This window comes from Homo sapiens, chromosome 4 (assembly GCF_000001405.40).
Source record: "Homo sapiens chromosome 4, GRCh38.p14 Primary Assembly".
NCBI classification, from domain to species: domain Eukaryota; kingdom Metazoa; phylum Chordata; class Mammalia; order Primates; family Hominidae; genus Homo; species Homo sapiens.
Window position 1 is genome coordinate 132,814,755 of NC_000004.12, and position 26,638 is coordinate 132,841,392.

Here is a 26,638-nt window from a genome sequence, read left to right on the forward strand (position 1 = left end):
AAAACCAGTTGGGACAGTCCATCCTTGCTCTTTAGTGGTCCACACAACGTTGGACAAACTACAGCATAAAAGCTCTACATAGGGGAGCAAGACTCCTGGTTGACATTGGGGTCTTTACCAAAATCTCCCCGGATTAAATGGTCCCAATTCACTAATGCCCAGTCTGAGGAGAGTCAGGATGGACAGTGGTACTTTTCTGAAGTAGAGAGCTGTCATTGACTTGGCAAATCCCCACAGGGTATAACAAGGCAAGCATTAAATACAAACAATTTGAGGCAAAATTGACTTGGTTATGTTAATAACTAGATGGTAAGCAACAGAGCGAGGAAAGAAGAGTAATAAAATAGATGAAAGAGAGTTAAATTTTTCTTACCTTTAGTTTGATAAGGTTTTCCCCTGGGACTATGGCCCACAACTCCAGAGGGGGTGGCGCTTTCTTGACTCGGGTGTGATGAGTCCATCCCCTTTTCACTGTAGGAACAGCAGTCTCGGTGGTTAGCAGCACAAGGCAGGGTCCTTCCCAGGCTGGCTCCAGTTTTCCTTCTTTCCACCCTTTGATGAGAATGTGATCCTCAGGCTGGTGCTGGTTTACCAGAAATTCTAGGGGTGGTACCTTACCTGTGCTAAAGACTTTTAGTTTTAAGGGAAAGGAAAGTGGAAGATAAACCAAGTATATAATTTCTAAGAAACTTTTCTTTTGTCTTAAATGTGGGGACATCAACAGTGGACTTTATAGTCCTTGGTGCCTTCTTACTGAGAAATTTCCTTTAGCATCTATTTTTATTAGTTTTTAGACCAAAGAAAGCCAAACACCATTTTATATTTGACAATGCTTTTTGTATGATTTTTATATCAGATAAGCTAAATTTCACCTTTGTATTAGTGTGCTATTAACGTTTAACTCAATTTTAATAAAACCTTGTAGACATATTTATCCAACTTTAACGTCTGAGCATAAGGTAAGATTTTTATAGACTCTTTTTAACCTTTTATAATTTTTGTTAAAGAGCAGGTTAGTGCATTAAGAAACCCATTGTGCTTTTGTTGTAATGTCCAGTTCACAGAAAAACTGGATGATACCCCTTTAACATTAGCCAATATGTTTACACACAGAATTCCCATTTTAAAACTTGCTTAAGCCTTTAAAACAAATATTTTAACCTTTTAATGTAGGTAAAAATTCAAATTTTTATGCCTCTTTAAAACCCTTTTACCAAAAGTATATTTTACTTTCCTTACACACCTTGCACATAAACTGTTTCTTCAATAGTTTTACATTCAGGAGGACTAATTACTTCTAAATGATACACATTTCTTGCATAAATTCCCTTTTATAACTTTTTTTTCACGACTTTCACAATCTTTGACATGCCTCAAACTTCTGACTTGTTGCAAACATCCCTTTCCTTAAACAACCAGTTAATTTATTTTAGGACAAGAATTTACCATATAACATTCTTTTTATATAAATTCTTCCCCTCCTTTTTTTTTTTTTTTTTTTTTTAGTTTTCTCCAAAGTGAACTTCCTTCATGTCTGTGGATTCAATTGCCTAAGGCCACAAGATTAGAAAATAGTATAATACAAGTTACACTGTTAACTTTTAGCAAACTTTACTTTTGTTGAAAACCTTGTAAGTCTGGGATTTCAATTATCCTTTGCTATTAATAAGATCTTGTTTAGTCCAAATTAACTTAGAATTGGTATAGATGGTTCCTTCCTGGTTCTGTAAGTACTTTAATGCTTGGCTGAGTGCAAACAGCTCACACATTTGAGCAGACCAATTATTAGGCAATTTTCCTAACTCCGCTTCTACAAGAGTTACCCTATCAATTACTGAATACCCATTGTGTCTTCTTCCCTCAATCACCCCGGAGGAACCATCTATCATCCTGTCCTGAAGGGAGTTCCTCCTAGGTCTGGTCAGACCTTTGTACGGTAATTAATTAAGATTTAGATCTCCTGTTAAGAAATCTGCTGGGTTAAGGGAATTATCAGTGGTTAATGTTAAATCATCTTTTTCTAACAGAATAGCCCCATACTTTAAGATTTTTGAGTAAGCTACTCTTTTGCTTTTTTTTTTTTTTTTTTTTTTTGACTTAGGATAGTTCTGAACTGGTGAGGTGTGCTCACAATGAGGCTTCCTCTAGAAGTTATTTTTCTACTTTCTTCTGCTAGCAAAGCAATTGCCCCTACAGATTGAATGCATATGGGGCATCCGTGAGTTACTGGGTTAAGGATTTTTATTTATTTATTTATTTATTTAGAGATGGAGTCTTGCTCTGTCACCCAGGCTGAAGTGCAATGGGGTGATCTCAGCACACTTCAAGCTCCCCCTCCCGGGTTCATGCCATTCTCCTGCCTCAGCCTCCCGAGTAGCTGGGACTACAGGCGCCCACCACCACGCCCGGCTAATTTTTTGTATTTTTAGTAGAGATGTGGTTTCACCGTGTCAACCAGGATGGTCTAGATTTCCTGACCTTGTGATCCGCCCACCTCAGCCTCCCAAAGTGCTGGGATTACAGGCATGAACCACCGCACCTGGCCAGGGATTTTTGATAGGAAGGCTGGAGGTTGTCAGTGGCCTCAGTGCCTTTGGGCTACGCCCTTGTTTACACTGACAAGGTAGTATTGGAGTGTTATAGGGTCATGGAGAAGACCTTCAATTATCAATTATAGGTTTTAAATTTACCCTGTCTTTTAAAGGAGTAGGGTACACTGTTTTCTCTTTACTACTTCTAGCTCTCTCTTTCTCTCTTTGACTTTGTCTCTTTCTCGCTCTCTTTGCCTTCCTCTTTGTCTGTCTCTTCCTCTCTCTGCATCTCTTTCTCTCTCTCTCTTTCCCCTCTCTCTCTTCTCTATATCCTCTCTGCTGCTCTTTCCCTGCCTCTGCCAGCCGCTTTGCTGCTGTGCTCCCCTCTCCTTTCCCTTCCCTAGAGGAGGAACTGGTGGGAGTGGAGCTACTCCTTCCTCCCCCGACAAGAAAGGAAGGAGGAGTTCTGAATATTTTTCTTACTACTGGAGGTTTGTGTGAGGTTCAACCCCCCAAAGGGGATTTCTCACCTCTTTTTGAGGTTCAACCCTTCTCATGGGGACTGCTCACCTCTTTTTCAGATTCAACCCCCCTCCCCGCCCCCCGCATGGGGATTTCTCATCTCTTTTTGAGGTTCAACCCCCACTCTTGGGGATTTCTCACGTCTTTCTGAGGTTCACCCTCCCCTCATGGGGATTTCTCACCTCTTTTTAACCTCCAAGACATCCCGACTAAGGAATACTTCACCGCCCCCATGGCTTTCTTTCCCTAGTCCAGCCTAAGGAATGCTTTACCGCCCCTGCAGTTTCTCTCTCCTTGGTATGTCCTAACCAAGGAAGGCTTTACCGCCCCGAAGCTTTGTCCTTAGTCCCGACCACCAAAGAAATACTTTACCAGCTCCCGCGGCTTCTCCTTCCTTGGTCTGCGCACAGAGCCATTGCCACAGTATGTGAGAATCCTTTAAGCTAGGTTGCTGGCCAGTTTATTGCCGTGTTGCTGAGAGCTGGGGCTATTCCTTGCGCTGGGTGGGTCCTGATTTCTCACCCCTGAGGCCGCCACAAGGGGGCGGGGCACTCCGCCTCACGAGAGAGAACCAGAGACTGTCCCCGGAGGGGAATGTAATCACAGGCAAGCCCCCAAATTGTTGTAAATAAAGTTTCGGTGCTGCAAAAGAAATAGTCTCGAATATAAAATTTTATTTTTAATTCTCAGCAAGGCAAGTTACTTCTATAGAAGGGTGCACCCTTACGGATGGAGCAATGGTGAGCGCACACTTGGGCAAGGGAGGGGAAGGGGTTCTTATTCCTGCTGCACATGGTCCCTGCTGCTGTGTCATTCCCCTATTGGCTAGGTTAAGACCGCACAGGCTAAACTAATTCTGATTGGCTAATTTAAAGAGACTGAGGGGGTGAGTGGTTTAGCGGAAAAAATGGTTATGACAGAGCAGGTAATTGGAATGAGTCAGGGTGGAGCAGGTAATCGAAAAAGGTTGCTTTACAAGGAAGTTAAGTTTAAAAGTAGAAGGCAAATAACTGAACATACTAACATATTGATTCTTTGAAAAGAAATTTAGAACTCATATGTAACATATTTAATGATGATACTGGTTTTTATTTCCCATTGTACTTTTTGTTTTTCTGTAAGGTGTGTGATATTTTCTCCATTTGAACTTTAAATCACAAATAGAGTTCTTGGTAATGTCTAATATTTTTAGTTTAAAAATCTTGTTTTAAATTTTTAAGATCTCTGCTGTTGTCATTCTTATGATATTGAATCTATTTAAGTGCATATGTTTTGTTGCTGTTGTTGTTGATCTGGTTTTCTTTTTTTTTTTCCCTAGTGTCAGAGGTATTGATTTCATTCCCTTACATGCTATAGCAACCACCTAAAGGGAACTCTTGGTTAGTTCTCTCCCTTTCATATACAGGGAAGTGATTTATAAAAAGTTTCCTAAACTGAACCTTCCCTAGCGTTAGCCACATGAGAAAATACCTAGAGCAATGAACAGAAAGAAGACTGTAACATGTTTTCCTTAGTAGCTGAAGAAACCTAATTGGCTCTCACAATGAGATATTCAAGAAATTCAAGGAATTCTCTTAAGACTCCATCAGTGTTTGCCACATTTCCTACTGAATGAGAAACCCCAAGATACTGGAAGTGAAGGGAAAATCATGGACCTCACAAAATTACGAGAAGTTGTTTGCTTTGAGAATTTTTTCCTATAAGATAGATTTAGATAGATCTTTGCAATGGACATTTTTCATTTGAGTCAATAACCCAAAACTGAAACCACCTGTATATCTTCCCACCTTATGAAATTTATAGGAGAGGAAAAACCACCTCTCCTTAAAAATACTGAGAATAGGCCGGGTGTACTGAGAATAGGCCGGCTCATGGCTGTAATCCCAGCACTATGGGAGGCCAAGGCAGGTGGATCACCTGAGGCCAGAAGTTCGAGATCAATCTGGTCAACATGGTAAAACCGCCCGTCTCTACTAATAATACAAAAATTAGCTGGGCATGGCAGTGCATGCCTGTAACCCCAGCTACTCCAGAGGCTGAGGCAGGAGAATCACTTGAACGGGGAGGCAGAGGTTGCAGTGAGCCGAGATCCTGCCACTGCACTCCAGCCTGGGCGACAAGAGTGAAACTCCATCTCAAAAAAAAAAACATAAAAAAGTATGTGAGCATACTGGGTTTAAAATTTATAACAATTAGATTAATGTACCTGATGATAGGATGAGTAAAGAAATTGGAAATCTTGAGATCCATATAGAGAAAAGTAACCAAGTAGCATGAGTTAGGCTTAAGTCTGAATTAAACCTTACAGTATGAGGTCAGGGCACAGTGAAGGATTTGGTTAATAAGGAAGGGATCAGATTAAATTAAAGCATTTTTAGGTGAAAACAAAAAAGCTGATATTGGCAAATACTAATTATTGGCCAAATAAATTATTACAAAATAATATTTAAATATATATAAGTGCTTGATAAAAAGTCAGGATCACAATTTTGAAGCTAATCACAAGGATATGGCCTTGAATAGCTCACTAAATGTTGTAGAAAATGTAATAACTCATTTTACAATAGTTTTTCATTGTTATATTTAATCCACATAACAATTCTGATAGGTATTATTCTGATTTTACTAACAAGAAAAGCACAGTTAGTTACAGGCCTAAAGTAACCTGGTTACAGCTGTTGTGCCCTGCACTAGCTGATTCTAAAGTTTTTACTTTGGGTATATACTTAATGGCTTTTTTCCTTTTTGTATAGCTTTATTAAACTCACTAGTTTGATAGGTCCATATCAAGGGTGTTGCCAACAAATGCTGCAGGTCAAAATGGAGTCTAATAAATGATGACTCAATGATTATATATAGGAGATTGCAGGAAAGTATTCTGCTACAAGCACTGATGAAAAGGCCTGAATACAATGTAGTTACAAAGAAAAATCTCTTATTTGAAAAATGATTTCCAAGCTTTTTCATCTGTGACTGTTTAGAAAGATTTTAAGTGATATTACCATGTCTTTATTTGTCAGTTAGGAAAATAAAGTGAAAAAGAAGAAATAAACTATTATACTTTGTGTGCATGCTCTAATAGAAACAAATGTATATTATGCCATGACTGAGTGAATATTAATGATAAAAGAATGCAGTCATTATTGCAAGAATTGGTTAATGATTTTGAGAATGAAAGTTTGGCTTTATATAGAGATTTTTATTTTAAATCAATAAATTTAACCAAACCTTTTTCTGTCTCAGAATAATTGTGCCTCTGGAACCATGATGCTGCCACAAAGTGGGAATCAATATTTACTACTATGATTTGTGGCTTATAATAGCAATGATTATTATGAGTTTCAGTCTATTAATAATATAAGGCTTTTCCTATCATGAATATTAAACAAATAGTATGTAAAAATTCAGAAAGTACTTTCATAGAGGAGAAAATCAATACCAGCAATTATTGGGGGTTGGGTATAAGGCAATTTTATTGGTCTGTTCTCACATTGCTATAACAAATTACCTGAGCCTGGGAGGTCTATTTAAAAAAAGAAGTTTAATTAGCTCATGATTCTGCAGGCTGTATAGGAATCATGGCTTGAGGAGGCCTCAGGAAACTTAAAATCATGGTGGAAGGCAAAGGGGAGGCCCATACGTGCTACATGGCTTGAGCAGGAGGAAGAGAGAGTGAAGAGGATAATGCTACACACTTTTAAGCAAACAGATTTCATGAGAATTCCATCACAAGAACAGCAAGGGGGAACTTTGCCCGCATGATTAAACCACTTTCCACCAGGCCCCTCCTTCAACACGTGGGGATTACAATTCAGCTTGAGATTTGGGTGGGGACACAGGGCCAAACCATAGCAACAGCTCCCTAAAGCAGAACAGCCTATTAGGAAAAGTCTGAGTCAAAGGCAAGAGGAGAATGTTCAGGTAGATGAGCAGTATTCAGTATAGAAAATCATCAATAAACTTTAATGGCTAAAATGTTGGTTCAATCTTCATATTAGAGACAGAGGGAGAAAAAGTTACATTGACTAAAATTTAAAAGGCAGCACCCCAGTAGGAATCTAGACACAGACTTACCATAAATATTGTGTAAGTAGAAGTTTGAGCACAAGGATCCAGTTAGTTGATTTGGGGTATAATTTTGCAGTAGAAATAGTACAAAGTTTGTCTTATAGCAGAATAGATTTGATTAAATCATAACGATAGTCATGACTTCATGTTTATCAAGTAAGATAATTAGGGGTCTATAATTAGGAGACAAAAGGTTATATATAGTTTAATAATTCTAATAACCTAATTCTGACTATTTAAATTTTAGAGTCTAGAAATAATAGCCACAGTCAATCACTAAGGAAATATTCATACACGTATAAATGGACAAAAGTAGACTAGGATGAAGTTTTTTTTTATTCTAATAAAAATATTATTATTGCACTTTTCAATCTTGGATTTTGTGGCACCCACACAACACTCATAAATGTGATTAAATGCCAGCTAGTGATGATGACTGAGTTTACAACTATAAATAAGACGTGATATTACCTGCATTATTGTTTCCTCAATCTGGATGTGCATATATAAAACATCAGTATTTTGTGTGTGTCATTTAATCTGAGATCAATCTATTTTCATCACTTAACATAGCCTTTACAATGTAACAGATAATAAAGACAGAACTATTTAAACATTAAAAAATAATGACATGATCATTCAATCATCTAGGCTTGTATGTTGATACCATAAGATTCTATGAATAGATGGAAAAATCTAAAGTTTAAAATTTTACACTGTCTTGCGTAAAGCTCCTTTGGTTTTTATTTAATCATTCTTTTTGTACCTACTGAAACAAGTGACTGTCTTCTTGTGAAAAATCTTCTACATTCAGGAAAACTTTTATTATTAAAATGTTTTCAGATCTATTGAATAAGTTATATAATAACATGAAATTCTATTTTATCTGTTAAGAAAAATCCTACTATCTTTCTTATATTATGCTTTTAAAATTTTTTGTTTTCAAATTTTATTGTCTCTATATACAAATAAAGCTAAAAGAGACTATAAGTGGCACATCATTCTTTTATCTTCTGGATTTTGCTTATTGTTTTAACACCTGGATAACAAAATACTTATTTATGTTCTAGAAGGATAAAGTCACTTCACTGTTTTATTCCTCTTGCTTTTCCCAAATTAACATTTTGTTTACGATGATTTAGTCTGTGCTCTTAGGACATGTTTATGGCACTGGACTTTAGCTAGACTTACACAAGATTGACAGAGAGTATTGTCATTTAACATGGACTTTAATGACTAGATAGATTGGTGGCACTTGCATATTGTGTTTTCTTTCCAATAGATATCAACATTGATTTATGGATGATTCCATTGAAACTACTTTAGTAACTGAATATGATGCCTGACAAGAGAATCTTGTGTATCAGTACACTAGAACAGTCTACCTTGAACAGGATGATACATTATTTATACTTCACTCTCTGAGCTTCTCTAGGGAGACTCTGTATTTTTCTGTTCAGTTTTCCAATTCTTCCATTGATTTTGGCAGGACCAGGATACTCAGCTTAAAAATAGATCATGTTAACGATTTAATTTTTTAAAATCTTTGACACAAATCAAGAGTTGAGAACTCTTACCTTTGGCAATAAAATCAGGTAATATTGCAGAAGCATGGTATGATACAATGACATTTAAACCTTGTGTATATAAAAACCACCCACGAGGCTTATTAATACTTGTGCCATATATAGAGATTGTGATTCAGATGGTTGTGTTAAGTTGAGGAATGTGGATTTTAACATAAATTCCCAGAGGACTTTTATGCAGGCTGCTGAAACAGTACTTTATAGAAAGCTAGCACACTAGATTAAGCAGAAGGCTACTTGGTTAGTCAAACCCAGATTTCATCTTACCTTAAGGATTTTCAAATATTATTGGATTGCTGTGAGGTCTAAAAGCTTGCTATAAATGTTCAAAAAATGTTATTTCTTTCCATTAGCTAGTATTTTGTTTAATTCAGGGAACACATTTTAGTGTTGATTGCTTAAAGTGAAGTTCCTTTCACTGAAGTTAAATAAATTCAGAGATTTTATTAGCTGAAAGGCTCCACCAATAAATTTTTAAATAATGTAGACTTTTTGAAGAAAAGAGGTTTTACTTAACATTATATATGTTCCTCAACATGACACACATATATTTATGTTCATACTTCCAGCTTCTTAATTCATGCCAATTCATTGAATTTTCATTTTATTTTATATCTCATCCTGCCAATTTGTTCACATAGAATTCAAGTATTTTAAATTTGTTATCATCTTTGAAGCAATATCTTAAATTAACCTCATAATTTGGAATAAATACAGAATAGGAGCAACACTATATTTTGATAAGAACATATTCGACTTGCCATGACAAACTAAACCTTTTTAATAGCTCAATTTATTAGGATAAAATGGCAACATTATAGTTCCCACCAGTAAGTAAAAATAGTATGGTCATAATAGAGAAATATAATGATAAGATGAGAGAGAATCTTATAATGTCGATGCCTGAAAACTTCTGAAAAATCCTCACCAATTGAAGCTTTTATAAGCTTCTAATTGTATTGTGATAAATGCATCTGTCTGGTGTAGAGAACTATCAACCTAAGTACATGTGCAGCAGCGAAAGTTGAGTTCCTTACAGAGAAAATCTATAATTTTATAATAAAAAAGCATTCACTGCCTTCCCAAACATAAAGAATAATTTTAAAGATTAAAATAAAAGCTTCAGAACACAGTTGCACATTTTCTAATGGAATGACAAACTTGTTTCCACTCTAGAAAGCATTTTTGACAAAGTTTCATACTTGAGGTTAATGACAATGTCTTAAGGGCATGAGTCTTGAATGAGAGTAGAGTTGGTTCCTAAAACTGAAGGAAAAAAAAGAAAAAAATATATATATAATGACACAGTCCAGGGCAGTAAATAAGAATAAAAGTGAAAGAAAATTAGGATTATGAGTCACTCTAAAACTCAAATAGCGGACAAATTAACATCAAAATAAGTCGTAAAAATGTGTGTGTTGGTTAATATTATGTGTCAACTTGATTGAAGGATGCAAAGTATTGTTTCTGGGTGTGTCTGGGATTAACGTTTGAGTCAGTGGACTGCGAGAGGCAGACCCACCCTTAATCTGGGTGGACTGCCAGCGAGGATAGAAAAAGCAGGCAGAAGGTGGAATTAGTAGACTTGCTGAGTCTTCCGGCCTTCATCTTTCTCCTGCGCTGGATGCTTCCTGCCTAGGAACATCAGACGCCAAGTTCTTCAGCTTTTGGACTCTTGGACTTCATACTACTGGTTTGCAGGGGCTCTCAGGCTTTGGCCACAGACTGAACAAGCTGTACTGTTGGCTTCTCTACTTTTGAGTTTTGAGACTCGGACTGATCCACTACTGGCTTCCTGGCTTCCGAACTTGCAGATGGCCTTTTGTGAGATTTTACCTTGTGATCATGTGAGTCAATTCTCCTTAATAAATTCCCTTTCATATATACATCTATCCTATTAGTTCTGTCCCTCTAGAGAACCCTGACTAATACAATATTTAAATGCACATCGCTAATTTTTTCCAAGTTACATACAAATAAATATTGAAACAATGATAATAACAAGAAAGGTCAAAGCTTCTCCATGTAAAAAAATAGTGAGTCAGTCTGCTCTTACATAAAAGCATTATTGTTTCCAATAGTGACTGTTGGAATTTAGCACAAAATATAAAAGATGAAAAGAATTTGTACACTCCAGAAAAAAAAAAAAGGGCAACAATAGTGGGAGGGAGCCCTTCTCACTTTTCATTCTTGTTATTAATGAATAATTCTCCAGGCCACATTTAAAAAAGGAAATTGTTGTGCTTAGCTCTTTAGTTAGTTGACAAGTTGACATCCTCATAATACATCTTATGATTAATTATAATCAAAATCACAATGAAGCATGGAATGTACTCAAGAGAGAAAAATTCTTATAAAGTTAGAAATCAATACTTTGTCAATATTACTTCTAGAGTGTTTCTAGAGTTATGCTACCACTTATCAAGCGATTGTATAAAATTATATAAAATCTCTCTACATGCCTACCTGCACTGCTGAATTCAGTTGGCTAGTATAGTATTTTGTTGAGGATTTTTGTATCAATATTTGTCAGGAATATTAGTCTATAGTTTTCTTGTAGTGTCTTTGGCTTTAGTTACAGGGTAATGCTGATCTCACAGGAGGAGTTAGGAAGTGATTCCCTCCTCTTCAATTTTCTGAAAAATTTGAAAAGGATTGGTATTTGTTCTTTAAATGTTTTGTAGAGTTCTAAAGTGAAGCTGTGTGGTCCTGGGCTTTTTCTTTTGGGGAGATTAGGATGACTGATTCAATATTCTTACTGGTATAGGCCTGTTCGGATTTCTTATTTTTTCATAATTTAGTTTGGTAGGTTGTATGTTTCTAGAAATTTATCCATTTCTTCCGGGTTGTACAATTTGTTGATGTATAATTATTCATAGTAATGTCATAATTCTTTTTGTTTCTGTGGCATTAGTTGTAATGCCTCTTATCTCTGATTTTAGTTATGTCGGTACTCTTTCTTATGTTCTTAGTTAATATACCTAAGGATTTGTCATTTTGTTAATCTTCTCAAAAAAATCAAATTTTTTTCTATTCTCTATTTTATTTATGTTCTAATTTTTCTTTCCTTTCTTCTGCTAACTTTGAAATTAGTTTATTCTTCTTTTTCTAGTACCTTGAGGTGTAAGGTTAAATTGTTGATTTATTTCTTTTTTAAATATAAGTGTTTATCACTATAAATTTGTCTCTTAATACTATTTTGCTGCATCCCATATATTTTGATGTAACGTGTTCTTATTTTCATTTATCTCAAGATATTTTTTACTTTAATTTTCATTATAATTTCTTCTTTAATACATTAGATGTTTGAGAGTTTGTTGTTTAATTCTCATATATTCATGAATTTTTCCATTTTTTTGTTTTGTTTTGTTTTTCCCTGGTATTGATTTATAGTTTCATTTTATCATGGATGAAAAATGTGCTTTGCATGATTTCCATCTTTTACAAATTTTTAAAATTTATTTCTGTTTTTTTTTTGTTTATTTTAACATGTGGTATATTCTGGAGAATATTTTATGTGCACTTGAGAAGAATACATATTCTGCTTTTATTAGGTGTGATGTTCCATAGATGTCTATTAGGTCCAACAGAGCTACAGTATTGTTTAAATTCTGTTTCCTTATTGATCCTCTGTCTGCTTGTTCTGTCCGTATTTGAAAGTGAGTTTTCTATTTCATTGTAGATATTCACATTTGGTTCAGGCATTATTTTCCTGATTCTATTTAGTTTTCTATATGTGTTTCCTTTTTTGAGCATCTTTAAGACAGTTATTTTGAATTATTTGTCAGGTAATTTATAAATCTCCTTTCTTTAGGGTCAGTTTCTAGAGATTTGTTTTACTTCTCTTAGGGCCATATTTTCCTCTTTATTTGTATGTTTTGGGATCTTTTGTTGTGATTTTGGCATTTGACAATACAGCCATTTCTCCCAGTTTTTATGGACTGTCTTCATACACAGGAAGACCTTTATCAATCAACCTGCATCAATATTCTGAAGCTCTGAAGCTTTCTCAAATCTTTTTAAAAGATATGCTTTATCTTGTCTTGGGGATATTTAATTTTCCAATTAAAGATGTTGGTATTTCTTCTCTGGTTTCCATAATTTCTTATGTTATGTTCCACAATTTCTTCTTGTTGTCTATCTGCAATATTACTATCTCTCTGGTGCTTAACAAGCCACAGTGCTTGCTTTTGTTCTCGAAATCCCCTAATGATGACTAAGAACTGGATGTCCAAACCAGTGCTTCTCTCAGTGCTGTCAGGACAGACAGAAATGAGTCCCTCGGGCAGTCCCTGAAAAGCCAGAATGTTTAATCCATGGTCCGCTTCTCTCTTAGGGGGATTGACTATGGTAGGTAAATTTTCCTTCCTGTTTTGATATGTCACTTCCTGGTTTTGCATTCATCTGGGTGCTCCAACCTCTTAATTTGTTTCTGAAGCTTTCACAAAAGCAATTTCGTCTGTATATTGTTAGGTTAGTGTCTCCAGGAAGGAATAAGGACCTGTGGTTTCCTATACCACTGTCTTGCTGACATCATTCCAAAATGTTAATACTTTAGCTTTTGATTTCCTCTTTGATTTATAAGTTATTTAGAGATCTGTTGTTATCCTTATATTTCTTCCTATGTATAAAACCTATCAATCAATTCTTGCTGCTTTTAACATTTTTTTTCATTAACACTGGTTTTGAGAAATGTTACTATGATGAACCCTCACGTACTTTTCCTTACGATTTTTGTGCTTGGTGTTTTTAAAATTTCCTGGATCTGTTCATTTGCAGCAAATTTTGAAAATTTTCAACCACTATTATTTTCAAATATTTGTTGCTCACCATCCTTCTTTGGTGACTGCAGTTAGACATATTAGACAACTTGAAGTTGCCCCAGTTCACTTAGATGCAGTTCAGTTTTTTAATTTTTTTCTATAATCTCCTTGAATATTAATTTGGTAGTTTATATTATAACATCCTCAAATTCACCAATCTTTTTTTCCTCATGGCTAATCTGCTATCAATCCCATTGCATATATATATATATGATATTTATATATATGATATATATATAATTTTATATGTAAATATATATTTTTGCATATTGTTATTTATATATTTAAATACTATATATTTTTGTGAATATATATTGTTTTCTTCTCTAGTTTATCTGTATCTTTAAAAAATATAACCCATTTCAATATCCTTTGAACATACGAAATACAGTTCTAATCATTGTTTTAAATTGTTTTCTACTAATTATATCTTCTATGTCCATTCTGGATCACTTCTGATTCATTATTCCCCTGACTATATATTTTTTTTCCCCGCTTTGTATTATATCTATCTATTAACTGTATTGAATACCAAACGTAAATTTTAACTGTATGTGAGCTGTATTTTTTTGCATAAATTGCTCCTTTCAAGTTCACCGTGCTCTCCACATTGCTAAATTTAATGTTCCTTTTCATTTTTCATTTTGTTCACATGAGCATTTGATACAGTTCCCTTTTATTATTTATTTATTTATTTACTTCTAAGATTACATATCTCCATTGGTTCCTCCTATCTTACTACTACTCTTTGTTATTCTAACTTTCTCTGAAAATTTCTATAGTCTTTAATTTCATGGAAAGCCCCAAGTTCAGTTATATGTCTTCTTTTCTTTTCCATCTAAATATTAATGACTCATTTGTTCTAATGGCTTCAAATGTCATTTATTTACTGACATTCCCAAATATATATCTGTAATCTATACCTCTGCTGCAAACTGCATGCTCAGCACCACTACATTACATTCTAATACATAACTCAATGCCATAATTTAAAAAACTGAACTCTTGATCCTATCACCCAAACTAACTTTCTTCTCTCACTACTAAGCCTTCCACATCTCAGTTGATGTCAACATCCTTTATCCTTCCAGTTGCTCAGGCCAAGAAAATTCAAAGTATCTTTGATTTCTCACACTCCATATTCAATGCATCAGAAAACCCTGATGCTTTTGCCTATAAAAACAGATACATAATGCATTTGTTTTTCTTCATTTGCAGATATTGGTCCAAACCACTACCATTCTTGCCTGAATTAGCATAATGTCTTTCTAATTCATATTTCTGTCCTTGCTCTACCTGCCACCTGACAGTCTCTAATTGTATCATTAACCATAGTGATCTCTTGGTTCTGTGCTTTACTCAGAATAGAAGTCAAAACTCTTAGAATGGCCATCAAAGCTATGTAATCTTCCCCCAAGCCTTGCTGCCCAGTCTAATCTAACCTTCTTTCCTCTTCCTCACTCAACCTTTTTCAGTCACACTGGTCAGCTTACAAGATTTTAAACAATCAGTCATGGTCCCACCATAAGGCATTTATACTGGCTTCTGCTGCTGCTTGTAAAATTCTTCCTTAAATACATGTCCTTCAAACTCCTTCACTTTTTTCTAGTGTGCTTAAAAAAAGAAAAAAAAAAGAAAACCTAAGCAGGTTCCATTACAGGTTAGGAACTCTGAAATTAGAAAACCTGAATATTTTATAATTGACAAGTTTGCCCAAACTCTATCCTGAAGGAGACATTATCTTTATTACATTATCTTTATCTATATTTAGCCAGTATAAGAATTTGCCATTTGCTTCAGAGGGAACCACTATCTCTTATCTCTTGAGGGTGATCATTATTCAAATATCCTTGAAGAGATAGTCCAGAACAAAGTCAATCAATGACTGTATTATCAAGACATGCAGAAATATCAAAGACACATGAAAAACTGTCTCACAACAATTAATATAAAGAAGTCCTCTACATTAAAAAAGTAAATGTAAAAGAAAATTTAAAGAAATGGATTCACTCTGAAAGAATGCAAAAAGAAAATTTAGAGAACATGATTCACTATGAATGAACAATACCCATATGAAATAAACAAGATTATTAGCAGGAAAAAGTAAATATTAAAAGCATCAGAAAATAGTCCACACCCATCAGAATGGCAAAAATAAATATCTAATAATATCATGTTTTAGTGAAGGGCCAAACAACAAAAATATTTATACACTGTGGCTACTGGTAGAAACGTAAATCAGTACAATTATTTTTTTAAAAATAATTTAGTTGGCCGGTCACAGTAGTTCATGCCTGTAATCCAAGCAATTTGGAGGCCGAGGCAGGAAAATCACTTGAGCCTGGGAGTTCAAGACCAGACTGAGTCTCTACAAAAAAAGTACAAAATTAGCTGGGCTTGGTGGTGTGTGATTGTAGTCCCAGCTACTTAGGACGCTGAGGTGGGAGGATGGCTTAAGACCAGGATATTGAGGCTTCAGTGAGCCATGATCACACCACTGCACTTCAGCCTAGGTGAGAGGATGAGACCCTGTCTCAAAATAAATAAATAAATAAAAATATTTAGTAAATAAAAAATTGAGTATATTTTCTCATTTCCAAGTACCTATGCATAACATTTCTATTAACCAAGCTTTATTAGACATGTAATTGCATGCTTAGATATACATTAAGAAGAAAGGATGTGATATTAATTTTTTTAATTAGTCTGCTCAGGTTTCCATGCAAAATACCATAAACTTAATGTGACTTTAACAACAGAAGTTTATTTTAACACAGATCTGGAGGCTGAAAGTCTAAGATTAAGGTTCTGCCTGATTTGTTTTTTTGGTGAGAGCTCTCTGACTCGCTTATAGATGGTTATCATATTTTTGTATGGTCTTCCCCCTGTGCATGTGCTTGAAGAAAGAGGCTTCTCTTTGTTCCTCTTCTTATAAAGCTATTAGTTCTATGGAATTAGGGCCCCATCTTTATGACCTAACAACCTTCTTTAACTCCTAAAGTCTCTATCTCCAAATACAATCATATTGGGGGTTAGGACTTCAACCTATGAAATTAGAGGGTACATAATTCAATTCATAGCATAATTATAGTGTATAGCAATAAAAATGAATAAAATAGTGCTACATGTATAAACAAAGGTATAACTCACATACAGAATTTTGAGAGAAATAAGCAAATGTCAGAAAAAATTTGACATTCAGGATAGTGCTTACCTGTGTGGTGGCAAGAGGGGATTGTATTATATCTGGGAGGATGAGGGGGACTCCAATGTATTGGTAACATTTGATTAGTATCCATATGTTATTATATATTTTTGTCTTATCTTGAAATATTTTAAAATAAAGTTAAGTCTAGATAACAGTGAAGAAAATGTGTATACAACTAAGCTGGAGAACATTTTAAAATAAGTACATTTTGCCTTCTCCTCTGTAGTCTTCTTTAATGTGCTTCAAACTAACTAAGTCTTGCTCCTTTGCTTCAAGGACATATTTTCCTCTCTCTTTTTTTGGCAAATAAAAACTGAAGTTTCCCCTTTTCGCTTGTGCTTGACTAAGAACTCTAGAAAGGTGAAGATAGTCATCCAAGGGTGAAGTGAATAGAGATATCTGACCCACCAGGCCTCAGGTAGGGGCATCTATCAGTTGGTTCCATGGAAACTGAAAGCTGATTTTGGTGTAGAGAGACTTGATCTGAAGGGAAAAAAAAAAAAAAAACAAGAGGGAGAGTGTTTGGCTAACCAAGCTTTACCCTGGATAATAGATCTCTAAGCTAATGAAAATGTTTTCTTTAGGAGTCATAGAATTGGTTAGAGTCTGAACTTTAAAAAAAAAATCAGTTTGGATCACAATCATTTTGGTCTAAATCGGTTGGGAACAGTGACTGAATATTTACTAAATATTTCCCTCAGTTTATTTGAGTGGTCCTCAGTATTTAATTTGATTTTAAAACTACTACAATGTGAGTTGGTTGCATATTCAAGTCTGTGAACTAAAATTCATAGCTGCTGTATTTCCACTTGCCCAAAAGAGCTAAAACCATAAACTAGCAATTTTCCATGGCCTCCTACTACATATTTGTTGTAGAAATCTTTAAACAATAATATTTCTTATTATTCTAGTTGATTATATGTTAGCTAAGTAATATTTTGATGAGTGTTTTCATATTACATTTTGAAGACTGATTTAGAAGGTAAAGGAATTCTTGAAACATTTGTAACATTTTTACACCGAAGATATGCACTTCTATAGCCACAAATTCACTTTATTATTTTACAAACAAAACACATCTGTCATGGGATTTATCATGTTAATATGAATTGAACATCTCCTACCTCCTCTCCCCATTCTTTTTTCTGCTTTGTATTAGAATAATATTACCATGCTTTGCAAAATTCTAAATGCACCACTGAATTAAAATTCTAAATAATCTATTTTTAATATGACACATTCACAGATACCACAATGAAAATGTGACATTTTTAAAATTTATCTGATCCTACTTAAAAAAAATACCTAAGACATAAATTAATTCTTCACCTTCAGTACTATAATATGTGACTAAAGCGTTAAGAAACTTTTAGTAACCTCCATTAATTTAGTAGTTCTCTTCTTTGAAAATGAATAAAAATGCAATCATGTGGAAGTTTGTATTAATAGAGGTGTGGGAGAGAGTATCTATATGCATGTGTAATTACACATACAAATTAGAGTTCTGAATAATAGTATCATTACTTTGAGAGATTACTGGGAAAATAAATGGAGCCTGTCTTCTACTTAACAATTCTCTACTATTTTTAACTGCTGAGTGTACTAGCCATTTACCAAGATGCACTCTCTAATTTTAGAGTGAAATTGAACAATATTTTCAAATTATTATGAAACTTTGAAAATCCATAGAAACTAATTTTTCTCTTTTTAATCAAACTAAAAGGGCCCAAGTTTCCTTGGGATATAGTATGAAAAATCATGATACAATTAATAATTATAAAAAACTATATGACATATTAATAGAAGTATTTTATTAAAATTCTAATGAATAACAACATATAGAAACATGCACACACACAAACACACAAATGCAATACAGAATATAAGGTTTGATTTTTTTCCTGTTAGTTTCTTTCACTTACAGTAATGTTAAGTACCATTTAATAATTCACAGCTGAAATTTCTTTTAAGGTAAATGGTTGTGAATATCAAAACATAATTTTTTAAAACTTGTAAAGTTTACGTGGGTATATTATAGGATCTTAAGTCTTTATATGTATGCTACAATTAGCTGTAATTATATATTCCTTGACATCTTAAAATAACATTTTTTAAAATTGATACAGTAAGTAAGAACATTGGGTTTAGACAATTTTTCCAGTATAACTGAACACTAGGGATTTGTTTCCTTATTTTGCTTTTTCTACTTTAGTGGACTACTTACCTTGAAGCTTCATCTGATAAAAGTGAGGCCATATAATTCATTGTGTAAACTCCACAGTTTTGCAATTGAAAGGAGCTACAAAATATTTGGATTGTAAAATTTATATTATTTTTTTAAAATAGAAATAATTGTACCTAGTTACAATAAAGCAATATTAAAAATAATATTCTTATTCATAATTTTTAACAGATCATCAGAATAATTATTCATAATATACATTAAATATGTTTATGGTGAAAATATAATTTATTATTCAATTATTGATTATTTTGAGAGCACAGCAGGTTATTAATGATTACACCAAAAGACCTGTTGCAAACAATAGCACCATCGTGGATAATCCAGGAGGTATGATCAATCCACAAAAATCAGAGTTTTACCCATATCTGCTTCTAATACTGTATTATTTGTATTTCTATAAATAATACATTTTTAAATGAATTATTTTTATTGTTTCTAAATAATTAGCAGATTTCTCCAATGTATTTTTATCATTAGTACATTTGAAATTGATCCCTTTACTCTAATTTGATCCTTACACATTGTATGCAAGTATCAAAATACTACATGCATGCCATAAATATACACAATTGTTATGTATCTATTTTAAAATTAACAAAAAAGAGGAAAAACCTCTATACAATCAATACATTCACATGAACTTTAGTATTCTGTGCCCCCAAATTGCACTTTCTTCTAATGTTTTCTTATCATCTTTCACTTCTTAATATTTTTAATGAAATATCTCCTGCATGATTACATCAGATATTTTTCTTGCATGTTCATATAAACATTCCTCTCCAGGCCATTAACAACTCCTGGGACTGATTAATGAGAAAACTGACTTTAATTTAGGGCTTTCTTAGAGCCCTCTGATATGAGTTGAGCAGCATTTTCTTCTAAGTCTGGACCTCTTGGGAGGAAACAGGCTTGGCTTTTCATGGTTTAAGATAGATATAAATGACTAATTGTCTTGGTCCAGAAAGATGCTTGTATTTTACTCTAGTGAGTTAGAAGATCTAGTTGGCCCATGTCTCAGGACGCTAAATTGGCACCAGAATCTTAATATAGGCAGAGATTTGAGAAGTAGACGGTAGACTGTGGTCATGCTTTGTAGAAGCCTGTATACGTATCCATAAGAAAGAAAACGAAATTAGGTAATTATCACATGGCAAGAATACCCATGTAATGATAGAATGTAGCCTACAACCTAGAGAGTAGAAATATAGTGGGCCAATGTTTTAGGGCCCTTATTTATTGGTAGATTTCTTACTCTAAAGAGACTATTAATATTATTATATTTTGAACTCAATTCCATGAGGAACTAGAACTGTATTAGGATCTTGTTGCTACTCATTTGTACTTTTTATCTTATATCATCTTTCCATTTCTTGATTGTTGTCTTGCAGAATAAACCAAGTCTGGAGCAATTTTAGTCATGTTTGAGTAGTCACTTGACTAATCCTTAAATATGGGCTAGACTTTTACATGCCCGGATCATTTGACAATGGCTTGAAAGTTTTGTACTCAGAAGAGATATGCATTATTGAGTTTGTAGACTTGCCTTCAGTGGTGGGATTGTTTATGTCTTTTCAGTGGATAGCGGTTAACATTTTGCACTTTGGAGTCATTCCTGTTTTAAATACTTGTTTTTCTTCTGTGTATCTGTAGGTAATCCTGCCCTGAATTATTTCTCATGAAGGATTTAGTTGTCTCCTTCTCAGATATAGCTACTGTTTTTAACCTATTTATAAAATAAAACTTTTAACAAAATAACAAATATATCAAGAAAATACATCAATCACAAGTGCAGAAATTAAAGAATTTCACAGTGAACATACATATTCTATAAACATCTGGATTACAAATAGAAAATTAGCAGCACCTCAGAAGTTCCCTCTTTTTTAATCTCACAGATACCTCTACCTCAAATGTTATCAATTACTCTTCTAACATTGTTTTTTTGGGCTTGTGGTTGTTGTTTTAGACAGAGTCTCACTTTGTCACCCACGCTGGAGTGCAGCGGGGCCATCACGACTCACTGTAGCCTTGACCTTCCTGGGCTCAGGTGATCCTCAGCCTACTGAGTAGCTGGAACTACAGGTGCGTGCCACCACATCCAGCTAATTTTTGTATTTTTTGTAGGGAAGGGGGTTTCACCATGTTGCTCAGGCTGGTCTCAAACTCCAGAGCTCAAGCCTTCTGTCCTCCTCAGCCTACCAAAATACTGTAAGTAGAGGCATGAGTTACCACATCCAGCCACTCTTCTGACTTTTATTAAAATACTTTTGTTTGATTATGAACATTATGTAAATGGATTTATACATATATTTTAGTGTTCACGGAGGTCATGAAATGGCTTCTGTTTAAGAATATGTTTCTTGTATCTTGAAAAGGAGAAATTATATGAAAACATAAATAAACTCACAAGCATGAGAGCACTCACTATGACTGGCCTAATTAAATGCAATATTTAGGTTATCCGTAAAGTGAGGGGACATTGGTAATACAGTTAGTATCTTATCATACAAACTGAGAACAGATCCAGATCCAGAATATGTTATTTTTGGAAATTATAAGGGAAAATCACAGCATTGACATTGTAAATGACTTTTAAAGGGCAGAAAACTTAATATCCACCCCTCTTAGAGTCTATAGTTCACACTGCAAAATATTTTTAAGGAAATGACCAAGTTAACCTTGGTTCTCAAGGTCTCTTTGTTTTTATTTTCTTTTCTACTTTCACATTATACTTGTAGTTCAAACAATGAGTTTCAGAGCAACATGATAGTGTACACATCCTCAATTTAATGCATTTAGAAGTCATTACTAATAGTTTTGTTGTTGTTGTTCTGAAAATGTTGAAATAACCCCAAAAGCTATGGGGTTACAAAGATCACTTACTGTTCTATGTCTCAATTTATGTGATTATAAGGTGAGAACAATGTGTCCCATCTATTTTGGTCCTTGGGACTTTAAGATTTAATAAGTGCAAAAAATTTCTAAGGACTTTACAAGAAAGTAGGCATGTAAATAATATTAATGACATGTCTGCTAGATAGTAATGGAAAATGTGAGAAACAGTATTTCCAATATCAAAAAAGTTAAAAGATTCACTTTTATCAGGTCTTAATACTAACCTCTAAGAAGATTAAAGATGCTTTTCTTCTGTGTAATAATCTCTGTAAGCTATTTAGCTCAAATTTTTAAAAAAGAATATGCCCAAATGATCAAAGAAGGTTTGCAGCATTAAGGAAAAAATATATTAAAAAAAATTATAGACGTATATAAATAATGTCAGATAACATGATAAATAATGCTTTAAGGAAAAAAACTACCAAACCCCTTAACAATAAGATGAAAATGGAATACATACATCTGTCATCTGTAAAAGCTGGTGTCATTTAGAAGTGTAGAAAATGGTAGGAGAAGTGCTCAAGTGGTCTTTTGTTCTATCTTCTTTAGGAAGTGATGTGATCTTCAAAATGGAAAGAACAAAACAAATATATAGAGCATATCACAGGTGAAGAAATCATGCTACCCTGAATGAATTCAAAATCAAAGGTTGAAGGAACTTAGAGGAGCTATGTATGTGAGGTGATCTGCAAGCCAGCTTTGATACTTTATAAGCAATAGTGGAAAGGAAGATTTTTTGGAAAACTGCAAATGGACAAATGCTCCAAATTTACAAAAAAAAAAAAATACTCTGACCATATTCTAGATGAAATACCAAAGGAATGATTTTTAAATTTAATTTATTGAAAGAGAACACAACGGAAGACATTTTAAACCTTATTGGAATTGGAACATATACCTGTGTAAACATAATTATTTTACAGATTATATAATAACAGGTGCCAAAATTTTAGTGATTTTTTTCTAAAGGATTTGACAAATCCCATTTCATTATTGTATTTGAAAATTGAGTAAACCATGAAAACTTCCTTTGCCTCAGTTTCTCTCTATGTAAAATAACATTAAACTGGAATGACATTTAAATTGTCCACCACCAATATCAAAATTTATACCTGTTAGTACAAAATTTTAGTTTCTCTTTACAGCTGAAAAAACTAAGACTGTGTCTATTTGACTTGTTTTGTATCTCCTAAATATGTCATTCGTCACTGTTTTATAGGCATGTTGAGAAAATCATAGTAGTGACTATGGATTTTATTTTATTTTTCATGTTTCTTTTATGCCTTCTTAAATGAAAACATAAATATTTTTGTGCTTCTTGTCTCTGGGGCAATTATCACCCTACTGGTTTCATATCATTTTAGCCCATACTTATTTTGATAAAGTTTCCTCTTTCTTTAAAATCTACCAACTCTCTTGCTCTAAGCTTTTTCCTAATTCTCTTTATTTGAGCTTGTCTCACTTGTCTTACTCCTCTGGTGTCCTAGACAGCATTTTAAAAAACAGTCTGTTAAGAAGCTGCAAATAGCTGCTACCCAGATTTTCTCCCTGGTTTCTTAAAAGTACTAACATCAAACAGTTTTTGCAGTTTATACAAAGGAGAGGATTTGACAGCGATAGAGAGGAATGAGCCACCAGAGCAGTGATTTTTTTAGCATTAGAATATCCTAGTAATCATTTATAAAATAACTGTGACCCTCATCTTTCCCTGGAACACAGACAAGCTTGGTTCCATGACCCCAGGAAGAAGAACTCAAGCAGCGATGGCACCCAGCCAGGCCATGCTTCCCTGGAGAGTGGACAGAATGGTACTCCTCCCAAAAGGGAGCAGCCCCTGAGCCAAGCTGCAGGTCTACCAGCTCCATACTTCTCTGGAGTGCATACCAGCCTGGCACCCTGCACCCAAATTAGCAGTACTTTCACAGAGCCATCAACTCATCAGCCACATGTGTTTTGTGAGCACAGATCAACCTGGTGCTCTGCCTCCTTAGGAGCAGTGCTTGAGTCAAGATGCAGGGCAACCATGCTTCTCTGGAGTGCAGAGCAGAGCCCGTAGTCAAACCAGCCACACAAACCTCTGTAGTATAAGCCACTGAGGTCCTCACAGGCATTGCATACATTGCCTACAGCTGAAGAAACTCCACAGACACTACATTACTACACTGTCCAAACAAAGGCAATATACCTTACCCGACCCAAATCCTAGGAAACATCTGCAGGTAAAAGTCTTTCCCCATGAAAGCCACTCTACAAAACTGGAAGAGGTGACTGTCTTACCAAATGCACAGATATAATACAATGATACAAGAAAAATGTAAAATCAAGGATACATGACACCACCGAAAACCACAATCACTCTCCAGTAACTGACACCAATGAAATAAACATACATACCTGAAAAAAATTTTGACAATATTATTAAGAAAACTCAGCCAATACAGATAGACAATTGAACAAAAATCAGAGAAACAATTCATGATCTCTGAAATAAGACATCATGAATTGTTGAGAGAGAACTCTCATTTGAGAGACTATGAATTGAAATGAGGAATTCAACAAAGAGGTAGATATCATAAAAGAGAACCAAACAGAAATGTTGAAGCTGAAAAATCCAATGAATGAAATAAAAAGTACAGTTGAGAGCTTCAACAATATACTAGATCAAGCAAAGGAAGCATCCCTAACTTGAGGAAGGGACTTTTGAAATAATCCAGTAAGACACTCCCCCAAAACAGAAAAAAATAAAAATAATGAAGAAAGTCTATAGGATTTATGAGAAATCATTAAATGAACACATTTTACAAAATGAGATTTTCAGAAGAAGAGATGGAAAAGGTATAAGAAATCTACTTAATGAAATAATAGCTGAAAACTCAGGTCTTGGGAGACATAAGATCCAGATCCAGGAAGTTAAAATATTCTCAACCCAAATAGTCATAACCCAAAATGTCCCTTTTAAGGCACATATAGGTGAAGTGTCAAATGTCAAAGACAAAGAAAGAATTCAAAAATAGCAATGGAAAAGCATAAAGTCACATATAAGGAGATCCTCATTAGACTATCAGCAGATTTCTCTCCAGAAATCTTACAGGCAAGGAGAAAATGGGATGATATATTTAAAGTGATAAAATTAAAAAAACTAAAACTGTCAGCCAATAATATTATACTCAACAAAACTATAATTCAGAAATTAAGGAGAAATAAAGTCTAAGACAAGGGTAAACTGAGGGAATTAATCACCTTTATACTTGGCTTACAAGAAATGCATAAGGGAGTCAAACACCTGGAAGTGAAAGGATGATAACCACCCTCATGAGAACACATAAAAGTAAAAAACTCACTGATAGAGAAGATACTCAAATAAAAAAAGAGAAAAAAAACAAATGCTACCACTGCAGAAAAAATACCAAATCACGAAGTTAAACAATAGAAGAAGAACTAAACAATGGAAATACAAAACACCAAGAAAACAAATAACAAAATGACAGGAGCAAGTCCTTACCTATTGATAATAAACTGAAATGTAAATAGATTGAATTCTCTACTTTAAAAATTATAGACTGGCTGAATGTATATAAAGAAAATAATCAACTATATGCTGCTTACAAGAAACTCACTTCATCTGTAAAAACACACATAAGACTGAAAAGTGAAGAAATAGAAAAAATATATTTGATGCAAAAGGAAACCAAAGATGAGGAAGAGTAGCTATATTTATATCAGATAAAATAGGCTTTAAGTAAAAATCTATAAACAGAGACAAGGTCACTATACAATGATAAAAGGATCAATTCCACAAGAGGGCATGACAGTTCTAAATATAAATGCACACAACATTGGAGTACCCAGATATAACAAGCAAATGTTATTTAATCTAAAGGTAACAACAAATCATAATATAGTAATATTTGGGTACTTCAACACCCCACAGATAAGCTAGATGAAGAAACAGCAAAGAAAATCACCTACCAGATATTTACAGAACATGTCTCCATAAACAGCAGAATACACTTTCTTCTCATTAGCACCTTTTACATTATACAGGATAGATCATATGCTAAGCCACAAAACAAGTCTCAAATAATTGTAAAGATCAAAATATTATCAAGTATCTTTTATGACCACAATGAAATAAAACTAGAAATCAATAACTAAAGCAACTTTGAAAACTGTATAAATACATGGATATTAAATAATATGCTACTGAATGACAAATGGATCAAAGAAAAAAATAAGAAAAAAAATTAAATGTTTCTTGAAGTAAATGGAAATAGAATCACAACTTACCAAAACCTGTGGGATATAGCAAAAGCAGTACTAAGAAGAAATCTCATAACACTAAATCCCCACATCTGAAAAGTAGAAATATTTAAAATACACAATCTAACAACGCACATCAAGGAACTGGAAAATCAACAACAAACCAAATCCAAAAGTAGTAGAAAAGAAATAATAAAGTTAGAGCAGAAATAAACAAAATATAGACTAAAAATACAAAAGTTCAATATTTTAAAAGCTGAGTTTTTTTTTGGAGAAAGGAAACAACATTGACAAAATATTAGTTAGACTAAGAAAAAGAGAGAGAGGGAAGTCCCAAATAAAATCACAAACAAAAAAGGAGACATTACAACCGATACCTCAGAAATACAAAGGATCATTAGAAACTATTATGCAAAACTATATACCAACGAATTGAAAACCTAGAGAAAATGAATAAATGTCTGAAAATACACAACTTACCAAGATATATTCAGGAAGAA